At 45.2% G+C, this 17154-nt stretch overlaps 1 protein-coding gene and 1 pseudogene across 3 annotated transcripts; one reads left to right on the top strand and one right to left on the bottom strand.

Moving 5' to 3' along the window:
- On the bottom strand, positions 2317-4152 carry LOC102723585 (ornithine aminotransferase pseudogene; annotated as a pseudogene).
- SSX2B (SSX family member 2B) lies at positions 6047-16331 on the top strand. 3 transcript variants are annotated; one of them, NM_001278701.2, is made up of 9 exons: positions 6047-6113; positions 7456-7544; positions 7983-8097; positions 8633-8728; positions 10595-10644; positions 12649-12784; positions 14296-14441; positions 15139-15243; positions 15709-16331. In NM_001278701.2, exons 2-8 carry the CDS (start codon positions 7476-7478, stop codon positions 15196-15198), a joined length of 672 nt encoding a protein of 223 aa, NP_001265630.1. In that variant the 5' UTR covers positions 6047-6113; positions 7456-7475; the 3' UTR covers positions 15199-15243; positions 15709-16331. The 3 variants fall into 3 exon arrangements, with proteins under 3 accessions (NP_001265630.1, NP_001265631.1, NP_001157889.1); NM_001278702.2 differs by having other exon boundaries at positions 14296-14373; NM_001164417.3 differs by lacking the exon at positions 14296-14441.
- The last annotated feature ends 823 nt before the right edge of the window (positions 16332-17154 follow it).

The following is a 17154-nucleotide window of genomic DNA, read 5'->3' on the forward strand; positions in this document are numbered from 1 at the left end:
CATAGATTTAAATCTAAAATATAAAACTAAAAAAGGCCGGGCACGGTGGCTCACGCCTGTAATCCCAGCACTTTGGGAGGCCGAGGTGGGCGGATCACGAGGTCAGGAGATCGAGACCATCCTGGCTAACACAGTGAAACCCTGTCTCTACTAAAAATACAAACAAGTTAGCTGGGCGTGGTGGCAGGCGCCTGTAGTCCCAGCTACTCGGGAGGCTGAGGCAGGAGAATGGGGTGAACCTGGGAGGTGGAGCTTGCAGTGAGCCGAGATCGTGCCACTGCACTCCATCCTGGGCAACAGAGCGAGACTGCATCTCAAAAAACAAACAAACAAACAAACAAACAAATGAACTAAAAACAAAGTTTTACAAGAAAATATAGGAGAAACGTCTGAGATCTAGGGCATAGTGAATGGTTCAAAAAGCATAATACATAAGAAAAAAATAAATTAGATTTTATCCAATTTAAAACTTTTGCTCTGCAAGAAATCTTGTTAAAAGGATGAAAAAATAGGGTACGATCTGAAAGAAAATGTTTGCAAACCACATATCCAAGAAAGGACTCACATCCAGAATATACAATGGATACGTATAGTACTCTCAAAACTCAACAGTAGGCTGAGCGTGGTGGCTCACGCTTGTAATCCCAGCACTTTGAAAGGTCGAGGTGGACGGAGGGCAGATCCCTTGAGGCCAGGAGTTCAAGACCAGCCTGGGCAACATGGCAAAAAACCCATCTCTACTAAAAATACAAAAATTAGACAAGCATGATGATGCATGCCTGTAATCCCAGCTACTCTGGAGGCTGAGGCACGAGAATCACTTGAACCTCGGAGGTGGAGGTCGGAGCGAGCCAAGATCGTGCCACTGCACTCCAGCCTGGGTAACAGAGCAAGACTCTGTCTCAAGAAAAAAAAAAATAATAAAAACCTCAATGGTAAAAAATACAAACAAATAATCCAATTAGAAAATCATGAAAAGATATGAACATACATTTCACTGAAGAGGAAATAAGCAAATAAGCACATGAAAAGATGTTCAACACTCATTTGCTTCACTAGATGCAGAATAACACCACGATGAGGTATCACTACACACTTATTACAATAGCTAAAATAAAAGACATAGTGACAACACCAAATGGTGACAAGGATGCAGAGAAACTGGACACCTCATTAAGTGCTGCTGGGAAGGTAAAATCTTACAGCCACTCTGGAAAGCAGTTTGGTAGTTTCTTATAAAACTAAACAATGCAGTGACCATACAATTCAACAATTACACTTCAGAGAAATTAAAATGTATGCCCATCCAGAAACTTGTACATAATTGTTCATAGCAGCTTTACTTGTAATAGCCAATAGCTGGAAATAATCAATATGTCCTAAAATAAGTGAATGGTCAAACTGTGGTATATCCATCCCCTGGAATGCTACTCAGCAATAAAAATGAACTATCGTCAGGGCACAGTGGCTCACCCTGTTATCACAGCACTTTGGGAGGTCGAGGCGGGTGGATGATGATGTCAGGAGTTCAAGACCAGCCTTGCCAGTATGTTGAAACCCCATCTTTACTACTGATACAAAAATTACCCGGGTGTGGTGGCGCGCACCTGTAGTCAGAGCTACTCGGGAGGCTGAGGCTGGAAAATTGCTTGAACCCGGGAGGCAGACAGTTGCAGTGAGCCGAGACACTGCACTCTAGCCTGGGTGACAGAGTGAGACTCTGTCTCAACAACAACAACAACAACAATGAACTATTGATACACAAATATCAATATCTTGGAGGAATCTCCATGGAATTACGCTGAGTGAAATAAGCCCGTAAAACGTTATATACTGTAAGATTTCACTTGTACAGCATTGTAGAAAAGACAAAATTGTGGAAACGAAAAACAGATTTGTGGTTGCCAGGGATTAGGGATGGCGGATGGGAGGAGAGTATTACTAAAAATGAGTAGCACAAGGGATAGCATTGCGGTGATGAAAATGTACTGTACATTTTTTTTTTCAAGAGGGATTCTCACTCTGTCTCCTAGGCTGTAGTGCAGTGGCACACTCTCGAGCTCACTGCAGCCTCTGCCTCCCGGGTTCGAGCTATTCTGTCTCAGCCTCCCATGTAGCTGGGACTACAGGCGGGTGCCACCATGCCTGGCTAATTTTTGTACTTTTAGTAGAGACGGGGTTTCTCCATGTTGGCCAGGCTGGTCTCAAACTCCTGACCTCAAGTGATCTGCCCACCTCGACCCTCCCAAAAGTGCTGGGATTACAAGCGTGAACCACTGCACCCGGCCCATGTTCTGTCTCTTTTTTTTTTTTTTCTGAAATATAAGCTTTGTTTAAAATGTAAAGAAATATTAAAAATAAACTTTTTTTTACAAATTATAATCAAGCACTCAAAACAATTTAGGGATGTTAAACACTAATTCTTAATTCAAAATAATGACATCCATAGAATATATCCTGGTGTTGGTCAACATAAAGTTTACTTAATATTAGTAATTTATAGGCCAGGCTCAGTGGCTCACACCTGTAATCCCAACACTTTGGGAGGTCGAGGCGGGCGGATCACGAGGTCAGGAGATCGAGACCATCCTGGCTAACACGATGAAACCCCGTCTCTACTAAGAATACAAAAAATTAGCCAGGCGTTTTGGTGGGCACCTGTAGTCCCAGCCACTCGGGAGGCTGAGGCAGGAGAATGGCGTGAACCCAGGAGGCGGAGCTTGCAGTGAGCGGAGATCGAGCCACTGCACTCCAGCCTGGGCGACAGAGCGAGACTCCGTCTCAAAACAAAAACAAAAACAAAAAACAAAAGAAAACAAAAGAACTAGTATTTTTTATATGCTTAACCATTGATCCTTCCTAAAATTCAATGAAAACAATGATTTGACTTTATAAGGTGCAGCCTTTTATGTAATACGCTAGAGATACTTTTTCAAATACAAAACCTTTATACCAGCAAGGAAATTATAAAAGCATATATAAAGTATACTGAAGGATGTGATTTAAAGGCTGTCTGTATATACAGATGCATTTCACCTTATAAAGTACACGTGCACATCAAAACGCTTTCACTGAATATAGATGCCATTACATTCTCTTAACACTACAAAGCAAATGTCAGGTTCATGAACATTGTTCCATTGTGTATCAACTGAAAAAAACATATATACACAAAAAGATTTTGACGGCACATGGGAGTGGAATGTGCCTACATTTAGAGCAGAGCTTTTACAGGACCACCTGTCTCCAGCCGGCTCCCAGGGACCACTGAAAACAGCTGCTACCCTCAGAACGACAAGATGGTCTTGTTAATGATTTCACTGGACTCTCGAATCTCATCCTCCTTGATCACCAGCAGAGGTGAAACCTGATGATGTCACCATGGGTGGGCTTGGCCAGAAGTCCATAATCTCAAAGTCATAGACACACCTCCCAAGCATTACAGTCTATGGTTTCTTTAATAACAATAGCATTTAATAATTATTTTCCTCCCGGGCACAGTGGCTCACGCCTGTAATCCCAACACTTTGGGAGGCTGAGGCGGGTGGATCGCCTGAGGTCAGGAGTTCGAGACCAGCCTGGCCAACATGGCGAAACCCCGTCTCTACTAAAAATACAAAAATTAGCCGGGCATAGTGGCGCGTGCCTGTAATCCCAGCTACTCAGGAGGCTGAGGCAGGAGAATCGCTAGAACCCAGCAGGCAGAGGTTGCAGTGAGCCAAGATCGCGCCATTGCACTCCAACCTGGGCAACCAGAATGAACCTCTGACTCAAAATAATAGCAATAATAATAATTCTGTTCCTCTTATGGCAGTTACAACATCAAAAGGTAGCTTCATGGGTTCACTTCTCACGATAATACCCATTTTTTTTTCTGCATTTTCAGCAAGATTTTCTTGTTCTAAAACCTCAAGGGCTGCGATGGTCACTCAGCAGCCTAGTGGATTGCCACCGTATGTGGACCCATGTTCCCCTGGCTTAATGGTCAGCATTATGCCATCGTCCCACAGCACTGCAGACACAGAGTATCAACCTCCAGAAAGGGCCTTTCCAAGGAGGACTATATCAGGACTGACATTTTCATGATCAACAGCCAGCCATCTACCAGTTCTGGCCAATCCTATCTGTATTTCATCAACAATGAACAGAACCAAGCTGGGAGCATGAGATGGGACGAGGGCAAGTAAAAATACCACAAAGCTCACTGTTCTTACGGAGATTCAGCTGGTCTCTCTCTCGCTCTTTCTTTCTTTCTTTCTTTCTTTTTCAGTCTTGCTCTGTCGCCCAAGCTGGAGTGCAGTGGTGTGATCTCAGCTCAATGCAACCTCCACTTCCCGGGTTCAAATCATTGAGTGAGCCCAGGAGGTCAAGACCAACCTGGGAAACATAGCAAAAGGCAGGGTGGTGCATGCCTGTAGTCCCAAGGCCGAGGCGGGAGAATCACTTGAGTCCCAGAGGTAGAGCCCAGCCTGGACAACATAGCGAAACTGTCTCTAATAGAAAAATTAAAAATATTAGTGGGGGCGGGGTGGTGTGAGCCCATAGTCCCGAGGCCGAGGCGGGAGGATTGCTTGAGCCTAGGAGGTCGAGGCCAGCCTGGCCAACATAGCGAAACCCCATTTCTGCTAACAACAAGAACAACAGAAAAATAGCGTGGGCGGGGTGGCTCACTCCTGTAGTTTTGAGGCCAAGGTGGGAGCATTGCTTGAGCCCAGGAGTTTGATACCAGCCTGGCCAACAAAGCGAAAGCCTGCCTCTCCTAAAAAATAAATAAATAAATAAATAAATAAAAATGAGCGGGGTAGAATGGCACACGCCTATAGTTCTGAGGCCGAGGTGGAAGCATCATCTGAGCCTGAGAGGTTGAGGCCAGCCTGGGCAACATATCGAAACCCGGTTTCCACTAAAACGAAACAAAACAAAACAAAAAATAGCTTGGGCAGGGTGGTGCATGGCTGTAGTCCTGAGATGGGAGGATCCCTTGAGTCCAGGAGCTTGATGCCGGCCTGGCCAACATAGGGAAACACGGTTTCTACTAAAAAAAAAAAAAAAAAAAAAAGCGTGGGCAGGGTGGTGCATGCCTGTCGTCTCGAGGCCATGGCGGAAGGATCCCTTGAGCCCAGGACGATGAGACCAGCCTGGCCAACATAGCAAAACCTGGTTTCTACTTAAAAAAAAAAAAAAAAAAAAGCGTGGGCTGGGTGGTGAATGCCTGTAGTCCCGAGGCCGAGGTGGGAGGATCGCTTGAGCCCACGACGTCAAGACCAGCCTGGCCAACACAGCGAAACCTTCTCTATTAAAAAATCAAAAAATAAAAAATATTAGTGGGGGTAGGGTGGTTCGCGCCTGTAGTCCCAAGACGGAGGCTGGAGGATTGGCCAAGGCAGATGTAACCAATACCACAATCACATCCCATAAGTAAATACATTTTCCTCTCTTCAGGGCTACAGGTAAAGGATGGTAATTGTGCGCACCATACTTAAGATTCCCTTTCAAAAATGTAAGCAGAGGTTGCGGGGCCTTGGACTGTTTTTTCAGTGGCAACAGACATAGAAGCCACTGAAGAATGAAAGCCACGACTAAGTATAGCAAACCTCCGCAAATGTGCTAGTTTGGAAAACATCGTGTCTTTCAAGTAGAAAAATCACAGATTGACTATTTTTTTCTTCCCACAGTTCAGACTAGAATCCAGATTTTTAACCCAAGATCCAGGAACGGTCTTCAGAGAGTTCAAAATCTGACGGCGCCTGAGGACCACCCACTTTTTCGCAGTGGCAACAAAGTGTGGCTGGAGGAGGAGACATTATTCTGCTATGTCACTGCCCAAGGATGATGGACCAATCAGGGCAGTTAGTGAACTCCATCTGGCCAATTAGAAGTCAGAACAGTAGGCGGAACAAGCGAAGCGGATGTGGCTTCTATCAGTCCCGGCTCCAGGGACGGAACCTTCTCAAAGTGGGGGTGGAGACTCTAATTTTCCCGCCTAAAGCATCCCCTGGGATTGGCTACTTTAAGTTCAGAGTACGCATGCTCTGACTTTCTCTCTCTTTCGATTCTTCCATACTCAGAGTACGCACGGTCTGATTTTCTCTTTGGATTCTTCCAAAATCAGAGTAAGCATACGCCGATTTTCTTTTTCCATTCTTCCTACCCCTCCCCTCCTCCGCGGTGCATTTGCTATCTAGTTTTAATAAGGAGTGTATATGAGGCAGGCCGCCATCTCGAATCTTTCCTGTCAGTTTCTAACTTTTTCAGGTACGGGATTTTTCCTAGGAACTCTGTAGTAACTTAAGAAATTTGGGCCGGGCGTGGTGGCTTACACTTGTAATCCCTGCACTTTTGGAAGCCACAGCTGGTGGATCGCCTGAACCTAAGAGGCGGAGGTTGCAGTGAGCCATGATCACGCCAGTGCACTCCCGACTGGGCAACAGAGCGAGACCCTGTCTGAAAAAACAAAAACCAAAAAAGCTCACTCAAATCTTTCCTCCTGGGCTCAAGTGAGCCTCTCGCCTAGGCCTTGGGGCTACAGGCGCGCACCACCCCGCTTCTGCTAAATTTTGTTTGTTTTTTTTAGTAGAGATGGTTTTGCTACGTTTGCGAGCCTGGTCTCAAGCTCCTGGGCTAAGGCGATCCGCCCACCTTGGCCTTCCAAAGTGCTGGGATGGTACAGGCCTGCTCCACCAACCCCAGCTAACTTTTTGTGTATTTTGTAGACGGGGGTTTTGCTGTGTTTCCCAGCCGGGTCTCGACCTCCTGGGCTCAAGCGGCCTGCACGCCTCGGCCTCCCAAAGTGCTGGGATTACAGGCGTGAGCCACGGCGCCTGGCTGATTGCTGCATCTTGAAATGCCCCACATTCTCTCTAAGTGATGGCGGGCTCTTGTAGTCTCAGAAATTCTAGCTCTCTTCCTTCTAATAATTTACAAATCACCGAGTAATAGCCTCTGAACACGTTCATATTAGCGATGCTCATTTCTCTTCAACAGAACAGAACCCCCCATCCCTCTGCCTGATCAGATCCATCGCCAAAGAGACCATGTTATCTCTGGGACTAACTTCCCTTCCTTTATTTATTGAGTGGGGGTGTCAGCATGCCCCCACTGAATAAAATTACACAGTCATGTCCCTGCCTCCCCAAAAAGGGTCCGTACATCTTTCAGGGTAAGCCTAGCTCCAGGGAAACTACTAACAACATTAGCCAACCCCCTCCCAAAGACTCAAGGCTGCTTTGCCCATAGGAAACCTGTCATTCCCTATCAATACTTCTCCCAGAGACCCCTGGTTCCCTGTTTTCATCTGATTTCTCCCCATATCCTTACTCAGGGACAGATAAGCCCCGGATGGAGAAATGCAGCAGCTGATTCCAGGTGACTGAGGGTGGCCGGCCTTCACTGACTTCTCCCTCCACAGGATCAAAGCTGCTGTGGCTGGAAAGACTCAGGCTATTTCTCTTGCAGGTCAGACTGCTCCCGGTGCCATGAACGGAGACGACGCCTTTGCAAGGAGACCCACGGTTGGTGCTCAAATACCAGAGAAGATCCAAAAGGTGAGGTGACCTGGAGGGAGCAGAGTAGTGGCCCAGGGGACAGTGTGGGGTGACCCGGTTTCTGAGGAGGGGAGGACAGAGATACTGGAGACAAGGAGCAGGGTCTCGGGGGAGATCTGGACCCTTGGGAGCCTCCCACCCTCGCTCTGTCATCACCTAGCATCCCTGGAGACAAGTCTGTGACCTTGCACTACATCTGGTGACTCTCAGTCCATTCTGGAAGGTGGGAAGAGAGCCAGCCAGCAGCATTAAAGCCCTACTGTGTGGCAGGGGTGAAGCTAGGGAAGGTCCCTCGTGTTCTGTCAGTTAGCCATGGCATCAACCAGGAAGGATTATCATCCCCAGTTCCCAGATCTAGCACACAGGAAGCGGCTCCAGCTGAATGGCAGACATGCCTAGCTGAGTCCCTGCCATAATTCCTTTTTTTTTTTTTTGTAGGCCTTCGATGATATTGCCAAATACTTCTCTAAGGAAGAGTGGGAAAAGATGAAAGCCTCGGAGAAAATCTTCTATGTGTATATGAAGAGAAAGTATGAGGCTATGACTAAACTAGGTAACAGAAAGTTCTGGGAACAGACAAGTCTGGGGACACATGAGCATCCCTTTTCCTGCTTTGGCTACTTCTTAGGCTGCAGAAAGTACCTCACATTTTCCTTTTGTGCAGGGAAAAATCGCAAGGCAGCTTCTGGGTGTTCTGCTCTTCTGTATCCTGTCAGGGCTGAGGGCAGGGACTGGCCACAGTGGAGCTTATACCTGGATCCTGCACGTTTCTCTCCCTTAGGCTTCTGTTCTGATGAGCCCAACTGTCTCTGTGGCATCCCGGCAACCCCCCTACCCCCACCCCACACACACCCACCCTACCTTCTCTCGGCTTGTCTCTTCCTTTTTTTTTTTTTTTTTTGAGTCAGTCTCAGTCTGTCACCTAGGCTAGAGGGCAGTAGTGCAATCATAGCTTACTGCAGCCTTGAATTCCTGGCCTCAAGCAATTCTCCAGCCTTAGCCTCCCAAAGTGTTGGTACTACAGACATGAGCCACCATACCAGGCCCAAGCTTGTCTCTTAAGGAATAAACATTTTGCTTCTTTCTAGGTTTCAAGGCCACCCTCCCACCTTTCATGTGTAATAAACGGGCCGAAGACTTCCAGGGGAATGATTTGGATAATGACCCTAACCGTGGGAATCAGGGTGAGTAGATGGGAAGGGGCTGGAAAGGGTCTCCTCAAGCCCAGCTGCTTTTCAGCTCAGCTACCTGAGAAAGATCCTCAGGCATTTGTTCCCTCATACACATCAGGGCTGAGTGAAAAAAAAAAAAAAAATTGCATGCAGAAAGTTAACTACAGAGGCCATTCATATAAAATTTTAAAACATGCAAAAGAAGAATATATATTTTATGGATAATAAGTAAATGGTAAATGTATACAAACATGAATGTGAATAAAAAGCCATCAAATTAAGGTGACTGGCTGTAAGTGGAGGAGGGAGGGAGGGCGGGCAGGGATTACTGAGTGCGGCACAGACAGCTTCAGCTGTGACTTGTTGATAGTGTGTTTTGTTTGTTTTTGTTTTTGAGATGGAGTTTCACTCTTCTCGGCCAGGGTAGAGTGCAATAAGGCAATCTCAGCTCACTCCAACTTTCACCTCCTGGGTTCAAGTGATTCTCCTGCCTCAGCCTCCCGAGTAGCTGGGGTTACAGGCACGTGCCCCCACACCCAGCTCATTTTTTAATTTATGGTAGAGACGGGGTTTCACCATGTTGGCCAGGCTGGTCTCAAACTTCCTGACCTCAGGTGATCCACCCGCCTCAGCCTTCCAAAGTGCTGGGATTACAACTGTGAGCTACCACGCCCGGCCTATTTGCAGTTTTTCTAATATTCTGAATAAATAAATCAGACCTAACATAGCTGTGGGGTAATGTTGAGATCCGACTGGACTCAATATTATTCCCCATACTTTTCTGTGTGTTTGAAATATTTCTTTTTTAAACGACATGTTGTTCTTCCTAAGCACCGTTAATGAATCAAAGGACTGCTAAAAAAATGCTACAAGTGAAAAAAAAAAAAGAAAGAAAGAAAGAAAGTGTTAAAACTGTAGATCCGCCAAAAACTTCCAGAGTTTGTTTCATTAACAGCATGTAGGTATTGGATAGGTATCTTAGGAGTGAGGGTGATGAACACATTATGTAATAAAGATCGCTGTTTCTCTGTATTGGTTTATCAAAACCAAATAGTCTTCTCATTCCCAAAGAACCCTGATTCTCCGTAATGAGCTTGGAAGAGAGTTTGAAGGAGTGATCCCTTATCCAACACACAGAGAGCTTTCCCACTTGTCAGAGAGCAGAGATAACATAGGGTGAAAAAAAGATAGGTTCTTGGGTAGAGAGCTTTGTACATTTCAGGAATATAAAGGGGACATATGTATTTACTTGCTCTTCTACTCTGACAACATAATTATAAGACAAGGTCAGAATGTCCAAACCGTCTCCAATAGACCTATTACTCGCCAACTAAACAGGCCAGATTCTACAATCTCCCGCAATCACTATAAGAGACCTGAAAAGCCAGTGCTTGAGTATCTGCCAAGTTTTGACAGTAAAGGAGTGTCTTTATACTGAAAATATTTCAGAGCCACTGGACCAAATCATCCATGGTTCATCACACATTTAACAGCTTAATTCACATACCATAAGATTCACCCATTTGAAGTGTACAATGATTTTCAGTTGTTGCACATCTTGAGTGGATACAGTTCAGATTCCTAACCAATCAATTTAATTATTTGGGAAAAAGTAAAAGATATGTAATGGAATAAGATGAGACTGTGATGGGGTGTAGTCCCCATGTGATAAACCATGAGATGGAAAATTCTGAATTGATGCCACAGATAAATGCACCAACCATGACTAAACATAATTCAGAAGCAAATCTGAAATAACTCCTCAACAATGAGTGGACTCATAACCCTCTGCTGCAGAATACCCTGATGCGACAGAAGTCTCTCTAGAGTTTGGAAACCTTTACCAACAAAGAAAAATTCTGATGTATTCTCTTTCAGTTGAACGTCCTCAGATGACTTTCGGCAGGCTCCAGGGAATCTCCCCGAAGGTGAGTGTCTCTCAGATCTAAAGGACCAGAGAACCTTTGTCCCTCCACGGATGCGAACACTGGTAAGAGTGGGAGAATATCAAAAATGCCCTCACTGCCTTCTTCTCCCCATGTCTATCACAACACCTGATGTCGCACCGACGGCTTGATAGTACCAACAGTTGCGATTGTTAATACTTCTTTTGTTTTCATAGTGATGCCAGATACTATTTCAAGCAGTTCACATGGATTAATTTATTTAATCCTTAAGAAGACATTGTTTCTATTATCTCCAAATAATAATGAGTCACACACTTCAGTTTTCATCCATATGAAAGCCATGTGACTTGACACAAATCTTCTAAGTTCTCTGAGCTCCAGATTCCTGGTCCATGAAATGGAAGTAAAGAATTATAGTTCATGTTTTAGATCATAGTTATCAGCAACATAATAATAAAATGAGGCTATCGTGGTACAGAGATGTTAAAGAATTTTCCTGGGGCGCAGTGGCAGTGGTAGTCTAATCCAGAGCTCCAAGCCATTTAAAGCTCATTCACATTTGCATTTGTCTATGAAGTTCAGATGTTGCTCACTAGGGCTTCACCCCATAGGGCCTGCTGGTGCTTCCAATGAGACACCCACTCTCTCAACAGGAAGGACCATCTGGTCTCTGCTGTGTTGCTGGGGCCACTTGCATGGCTTAGGAATCACTTTGATTGTTGGCCCCTCCCTACTGTGAGCTCCTTGAGTGCCTTGTCTGCACCTGGGGCATCTGGGAAGGCCCAGTCCCAGCCCAGGGGATCCCTCGGAGGCCCCTGAATGAGTGATCCCACAAGTGCAGATTCAACTCTGGTTTGGAGGGTAAAGGGATCTGGGAGTTGGGTTGCCAGTGTGGAGACTGAATTCAAAGAAGGATTGTGAAAGGTATTAATTGTTATTATTACGACATTTAAACAGTGTTTACAAGCTCAGAGAGGACTTTACTGTAGGCTATTTGACATGTATGGTTCACTATTTCATAAGGGAGGAAGCTGAATGAAAAGTAGCTTAAGAGCCGGGCGCGGTGGCTCACGACTGTAATCCCAGCACTTTGGGAGGCTGAGGCGGGCAGATCACGAGGTCAAGAGATCGAGACCATCCTGCCCAACATGGTGAAACCGTGTCTCTACTAAAAATACAAAACTTAGCGGGGCGTGGTAGTGCCTGCCTGTAGTCCCAGATACTCTGGAGGCTAAGGAAGGAGAATCGCTTAAACGCGGGAGTCGGATGTTGCCTTGAGCCGATATCATGCCACGGCACCCCAGTCTGGCGACACAGTGAGACTCCGTCTCAAAAAAAAAAAAAAAAAAAAAAAAAAAAAGAAAGAAAGAAAGAAAAAAAAAAGTAGCTTAAGATTGTTGGTCAGTGACACATCCCAATGCAACCAGAATTGGTATGGGTACCACCTCACTGAATTCCACATTGAATGTCGGTGCCCCAGTAGGGTAGTATGTCATATCTGGTACTGCTTTGTTTGCTGCCTAGATTAATTTCGGCAAACCATTTCTTTCCCTCTCCCTTCCCTGTATTCATCTCCCCACACCATCTTTCCCAGCAGTGTTTTGTCGCCTCCCTATGTTTTTACATTTACTCTCCCAGCAGCTGTCTAGAAGCTTATATGGGATCCCTTGTATTTTACAGAACCTCTTCCCTTTGTAGACCTTGTGAATTCTTAGAATGCTACTCTTCTCCAAATCATCTGTATATCACACTCTCAATTACATGGAGATTTTTGCTGTTTGCAAGAATGTCAGTCCTAAAAGAGTGGGAAGATAAGCATTCTATCCCTGGAAACCATATTCACTTAGGCCATTCCTTTCCCTTCTAACCTCCCCTCCCAGGTTTCTCCTAATTTAGGCCTGTGTAACTCTCCCAGTGTTGTTGAGAACATTGAATAAGCTAATGCATGTGAAGACCCTTTGTAAGCTCAAAAGCACTATAGATATGTCACTGATACTATTTATCTGTGATCTTCACATTATAAAGATCATGCCCAAGAAGCCAGCAGAGGAAGGAAATGATTCGGAGGAAGTGCCAGAAGCATCTGGCCCACAAAATGATGGGAAAGAGCTGTGCCCCCCGGGAAAACCAACTACCTCTGAGAAGATTCACGAGAGATCTGGTAAGAGGAAGCAATTCAGGAACAATCCCTCTGGCTTCCCTGGCGATGTTCAGGTATATGGACTGGGTGTGTGGCATGGATCCCAGATAACCCTGGGTCCAGACTGGGCTGAGGAGCTCGCCCAGCTCCAGATGAGATGTTAGACATGACTTCCAGAGATAGACTTGATTTGTCACCCATAGAAAAAACCATGTGACTTGGGGCAAGTCTTTCAGATTTTCTCAGCTCCAGATTCCTAGTCCGTAAGATGGAAATAAGGAATCATAGTTCATAAATTGTTTGGAGACATTAAATTTAATCTAGAAGGCCTGATGACATGAAAGGTGCTCAAGCAATTCTATCTGTGATTACCTGGGATCATTACCTGATTAAGACTCAGCTCAATGCCATGCCTGTTACCCAATACAGGTGTACTTCAGAGATACTGCAGGTTCAGTTCCAGACCACTGCAATAAAGTGAGTCACACACGTTGTTTTTTGGTTTGGCAGCGCATAAAAACATTATGTTTATACTATAGTGTAGTCTACTAAGTGTGCGATAGCGTTGTGTCTAAAAATGTATATACCTTAATTTAAAAATAATTCTTTGTTAAAAATGCTAACAATCTTCTGAGCCTTCAGTGAGTCACACTCTTTTTGCTGGTGGAGGGTCTTGCCTCGGTGTTGATGGCTGCTGGCTGATCAAGGTGGTGGTTGCTGAAGGGTGGAGTGGCTGTGGCAGTTTCTTAAAAGAACACAACAGTGAAATTTGCCACATCGATTAGCTCTCCGTTTCATGAAGGATTTCTCTGTAGTATGTGATGCTATTGGATAGCATTTTACCCACAGTAGAACTTCTTTCAAAGTTGAAATCAATCCTCTCTAGCTATGAAAGTCCTAGAAGGCATCTCCTTCCAATAGAAGGCTATTTTATCTACATTGAAAATCTGTTGTTTCATGTAGCCACCTTCAACAGTGATCTTAGCTAGATCTTCTGGATAACTTGCTGCAGCTTCTCCATCAGGGTTTGCTGCTTCACCTTGCACTTTTATGTTATGGAAACGGCTTCATTCCTTAAACCTCATGAACCAACCTCTGCTAGCTTCACATGTTTCTCCTGCAGCTTCTTCACCTCTCTCAGCATTCATGGACTTGAAGAGAGTTCTGGTCTTGCTCTGAATTAGACTTTGGCTTAAGGGAATGTTGTGACTGGTTTCGTCTTCTATCCTGACCACTCAGACTTCCTCTATTTGAGCAGTAAGGCAGTTTTGCTTTCTTATTCGTGTGTTCACTGGAGTATTAGTATTATTATTTCCTTCAAGAACTTTTCCTTTGCATTCACAGCTTGGCTGTTTGGCGCAATAGGCCTAGCTTTCAGCCTGTCTTGGCTTTCAGCATGCTTCCTCACTAAGCTTAGCCATTTCTAGCTTGTGATTTAGAGTGAGAGACATGCGACTCTTCCTTTCATTTGAACACTTAGCGGCCATTGTAAGGTTGTTAATAATCCTCATTTCAGTATTGCTGTGTCTCAGGAAATAGGGAGGCCCAAGAAAAGGAAGAGAGACGCGGAACAGCTCATCGGTGGAGCAGTCAGAACACACACAACATTGGTCGATTCAGTTTGTCAACTTCTATGGGTGCAGTTCATGGTACCCCCAAAACAATTACACACAACAGGGTGATTATAGTCAATAATAACTTAATTGTACATTAAAAAAAAAACTAAAAGTGTAAATGGATTGTTTGTAACACAAGGATAAATGCTTGAGGATGGATACCCTATTTTCCATGATGTGATTATTACCCATTGCATGCCTGTATCAAAGCATCTCATGTACCCCATAAGAATATACACCTGCTGCGTACCCACAAAATAAAGAACAAAAATTATTTTAAAACACTAAAAAACAATAAAATCAATTGCAGTAATAATATCAAAGCTCACCGATCACAGATCACTATAGCAGATATAATAATAATGGAAAAGTGTAAAATTGGTGAGAATTAAAAAAAAAAATTGCAGCATCTGCGAAGCAGTATGAACATGAGGTGCAACAAAACAAGGTACGCCTGTGTGGCCTTAACAAATACGTGCTGGATGAAAGGAGGTATGGGGGAATGTTCCCGTAAGTGAAGAGGTTGGGAATCTAAGCCTGAGAAGGGAAGGAGCCAGAAGCTAAAACTTTAATTGGCATTTGGCCTATGTTGGTGTGGATCTAAGGTCTCAGCCTCTCTAAGCCAGAGAATGTGAAAAACTGGATGAAGAAGGCCCATGGGCACTTGGGAGGAAGCAGGCATCTCCTTTTTTTGAGTAAACAGAGCCTAACACTCTCCAACCTTCCCAACCCTCACTTTCCAACTATTCTCCATCACAGGACCCAAAAGGGGGGAACATGCCTGGACCCACAGACTGCGTGAGAGAAAACAGCTGGTGATTTATGAAGAGATCAGCGACCCTGAGGAAGATGACGAGTAACTCCGTAAGAGAACCTTCCACTCATCCCCCACATCCCTGCAGACGTGCTATTCTGTTATGATACTGGTATCCCATCTGTCACTTGCTCCCCAAATCATTCCCTTCTTACAATTTTCTACTGTACAGCATTGAGGCTGAACGATGAGAGATTTCCCATGCTCTTTCTACTCCCTGCCCTGTATATATCCGGGGATCCTCCCTACCCAGGATGCTGTGGGGTCCCAAACCCCAAGTAAGCCCTGATATGCGGGCCACACCTTTCTCTAGCCTAGGAATTGATAACCCAGGCGAGGAAGTCACTGTGGCATGAACAGATGGTTCACTTCGAGGAACCGTGGAAGGCGTGTGCAGGTCCTGAGATAGGGCAGAATCGGAGTGTGCAGGGTCTGCAGGTCAGGAGGAGTTGAGATTGCGTTGCCACGTGGTGGGAACTCACTGCCACTTATTTCCTTCTCTCTTCTTGCCTCAGCCTCAGGGATACGACACATGCCCATGATGAGAAGCAGAACGTGGTGACCTTTCACGAACATGGGCATGGCTGCGGACCCCTCGTCATCAGGTGCATAGCAAGTGAAAGCAAGTGTTCACAACAGTGAAAAGTTGAGCGTCATTTTTCTTAGTGTGCCAAGAGTTCGATGTTAGCGTTTACGTTGTATTTTCTTACACTGTGTCATTCTGTTAGATACTAACATTTTCATTGATGAGCAAGACATACTTAATGCATATTTTGGTTTGTGTATCCATGCACCTACCTTAGAAAACAAGTATTGTCGGTTACCTCTGCATGGAACAGCATTACCCTCCTCTCTCCCCAGATGTGACTACTGAGGGCAGTTCTGAGTGTTTAATTTCAGATTTTTTCCTCTGCATTTACACACACACGCACACAAACCACACCACACACACACACACACACACACACACACACACACACACACACCAAGTACCAGTATAAGCATCTGCCATCTGCTTTTCCCATTGCCATGCGTCCTGGTCAAGCTCCCCTCACTCTGTTTCCTGGTCAGCATGTACTCCCCTCATCCGATTCCCCTGTAGCAGTCACTGACAGTTAATAAACCTTTGCAAACGTTCCCCAGTTGTTTGCTCGTGCCATTATTGTGCACACAGCTCTGTGCACGTGTGTGCATATTTCTTTAGGAAAGATTCTTAGAAGTGGAATTGCTGTGTCAAAGGAGTCATTTATTCAACAAAACACTAATGAGTGCGTCCTCGTGCTGAGCGCTGTTCTAGGTGCTGGAGCGACGTCAGGGAACAAGGCAGACAGGAGTTCCTGACCCCCGTTCTAGAGGAGGATGTTTCCAGTTGTTGGGTTTTGTTTGTTTGTTTCTTCTAGAGATGGTGGTCTTGCTCTGTCCAGGCTAGAGTGCAGTGGCATGATCATAGCTCAGTGCAGCCTTGAACTCCTGGGCTCAAGCAATCCTCCGTCCTCAGCCTCCAGAGAAGCTGTGACTACAGGCGTGCACCATCATGATCCACTAAGTTTTTTAAGGTTTTGTCAAGAAAGTCTCTCTATGTTACCCAGGCTGGACTTAAACTCCTGGGCCAAAGCAATCCTCCCACCTTGGTCTCCTAAAGTGTTGGGATTACAGGCGTGAGCCGCAGCACCTGTCCTCCAGTTTTTATTTTGATACAGACTATACACTTCAGTCCTGGAGCAGGATTCTGTAGCAGGTGGTTGGGCATCTTGGCCTTTGCTCTCTGAATGATTTTCGGTTTCAAGGTCTGGGACGGTCCATTTGGGTGGATGTGGGAGGAGACACAGATGAAATCGTCATCTGGGGAACGTGGAAGAATAAGGCAGATGCGTGCAATGTAGACCCTGTGATGGACAGGGAATAGAAGAGTCCACTTAGTCTCCATGCAGGGGAGCAATTGGTGGGAAAGTCTCCTGGAC

Source organism: Homo sapiens, chromosome X (genome assembly GCF_000001405.40).
Source record: "Homo sapiens chromosome X, GRCh38.p14 Primary Assembly".
NCBI lineage: Eukaryota > Metazoa > Chordata > Mammalia > Primates > Hominidae > Homo > Homo sapiens.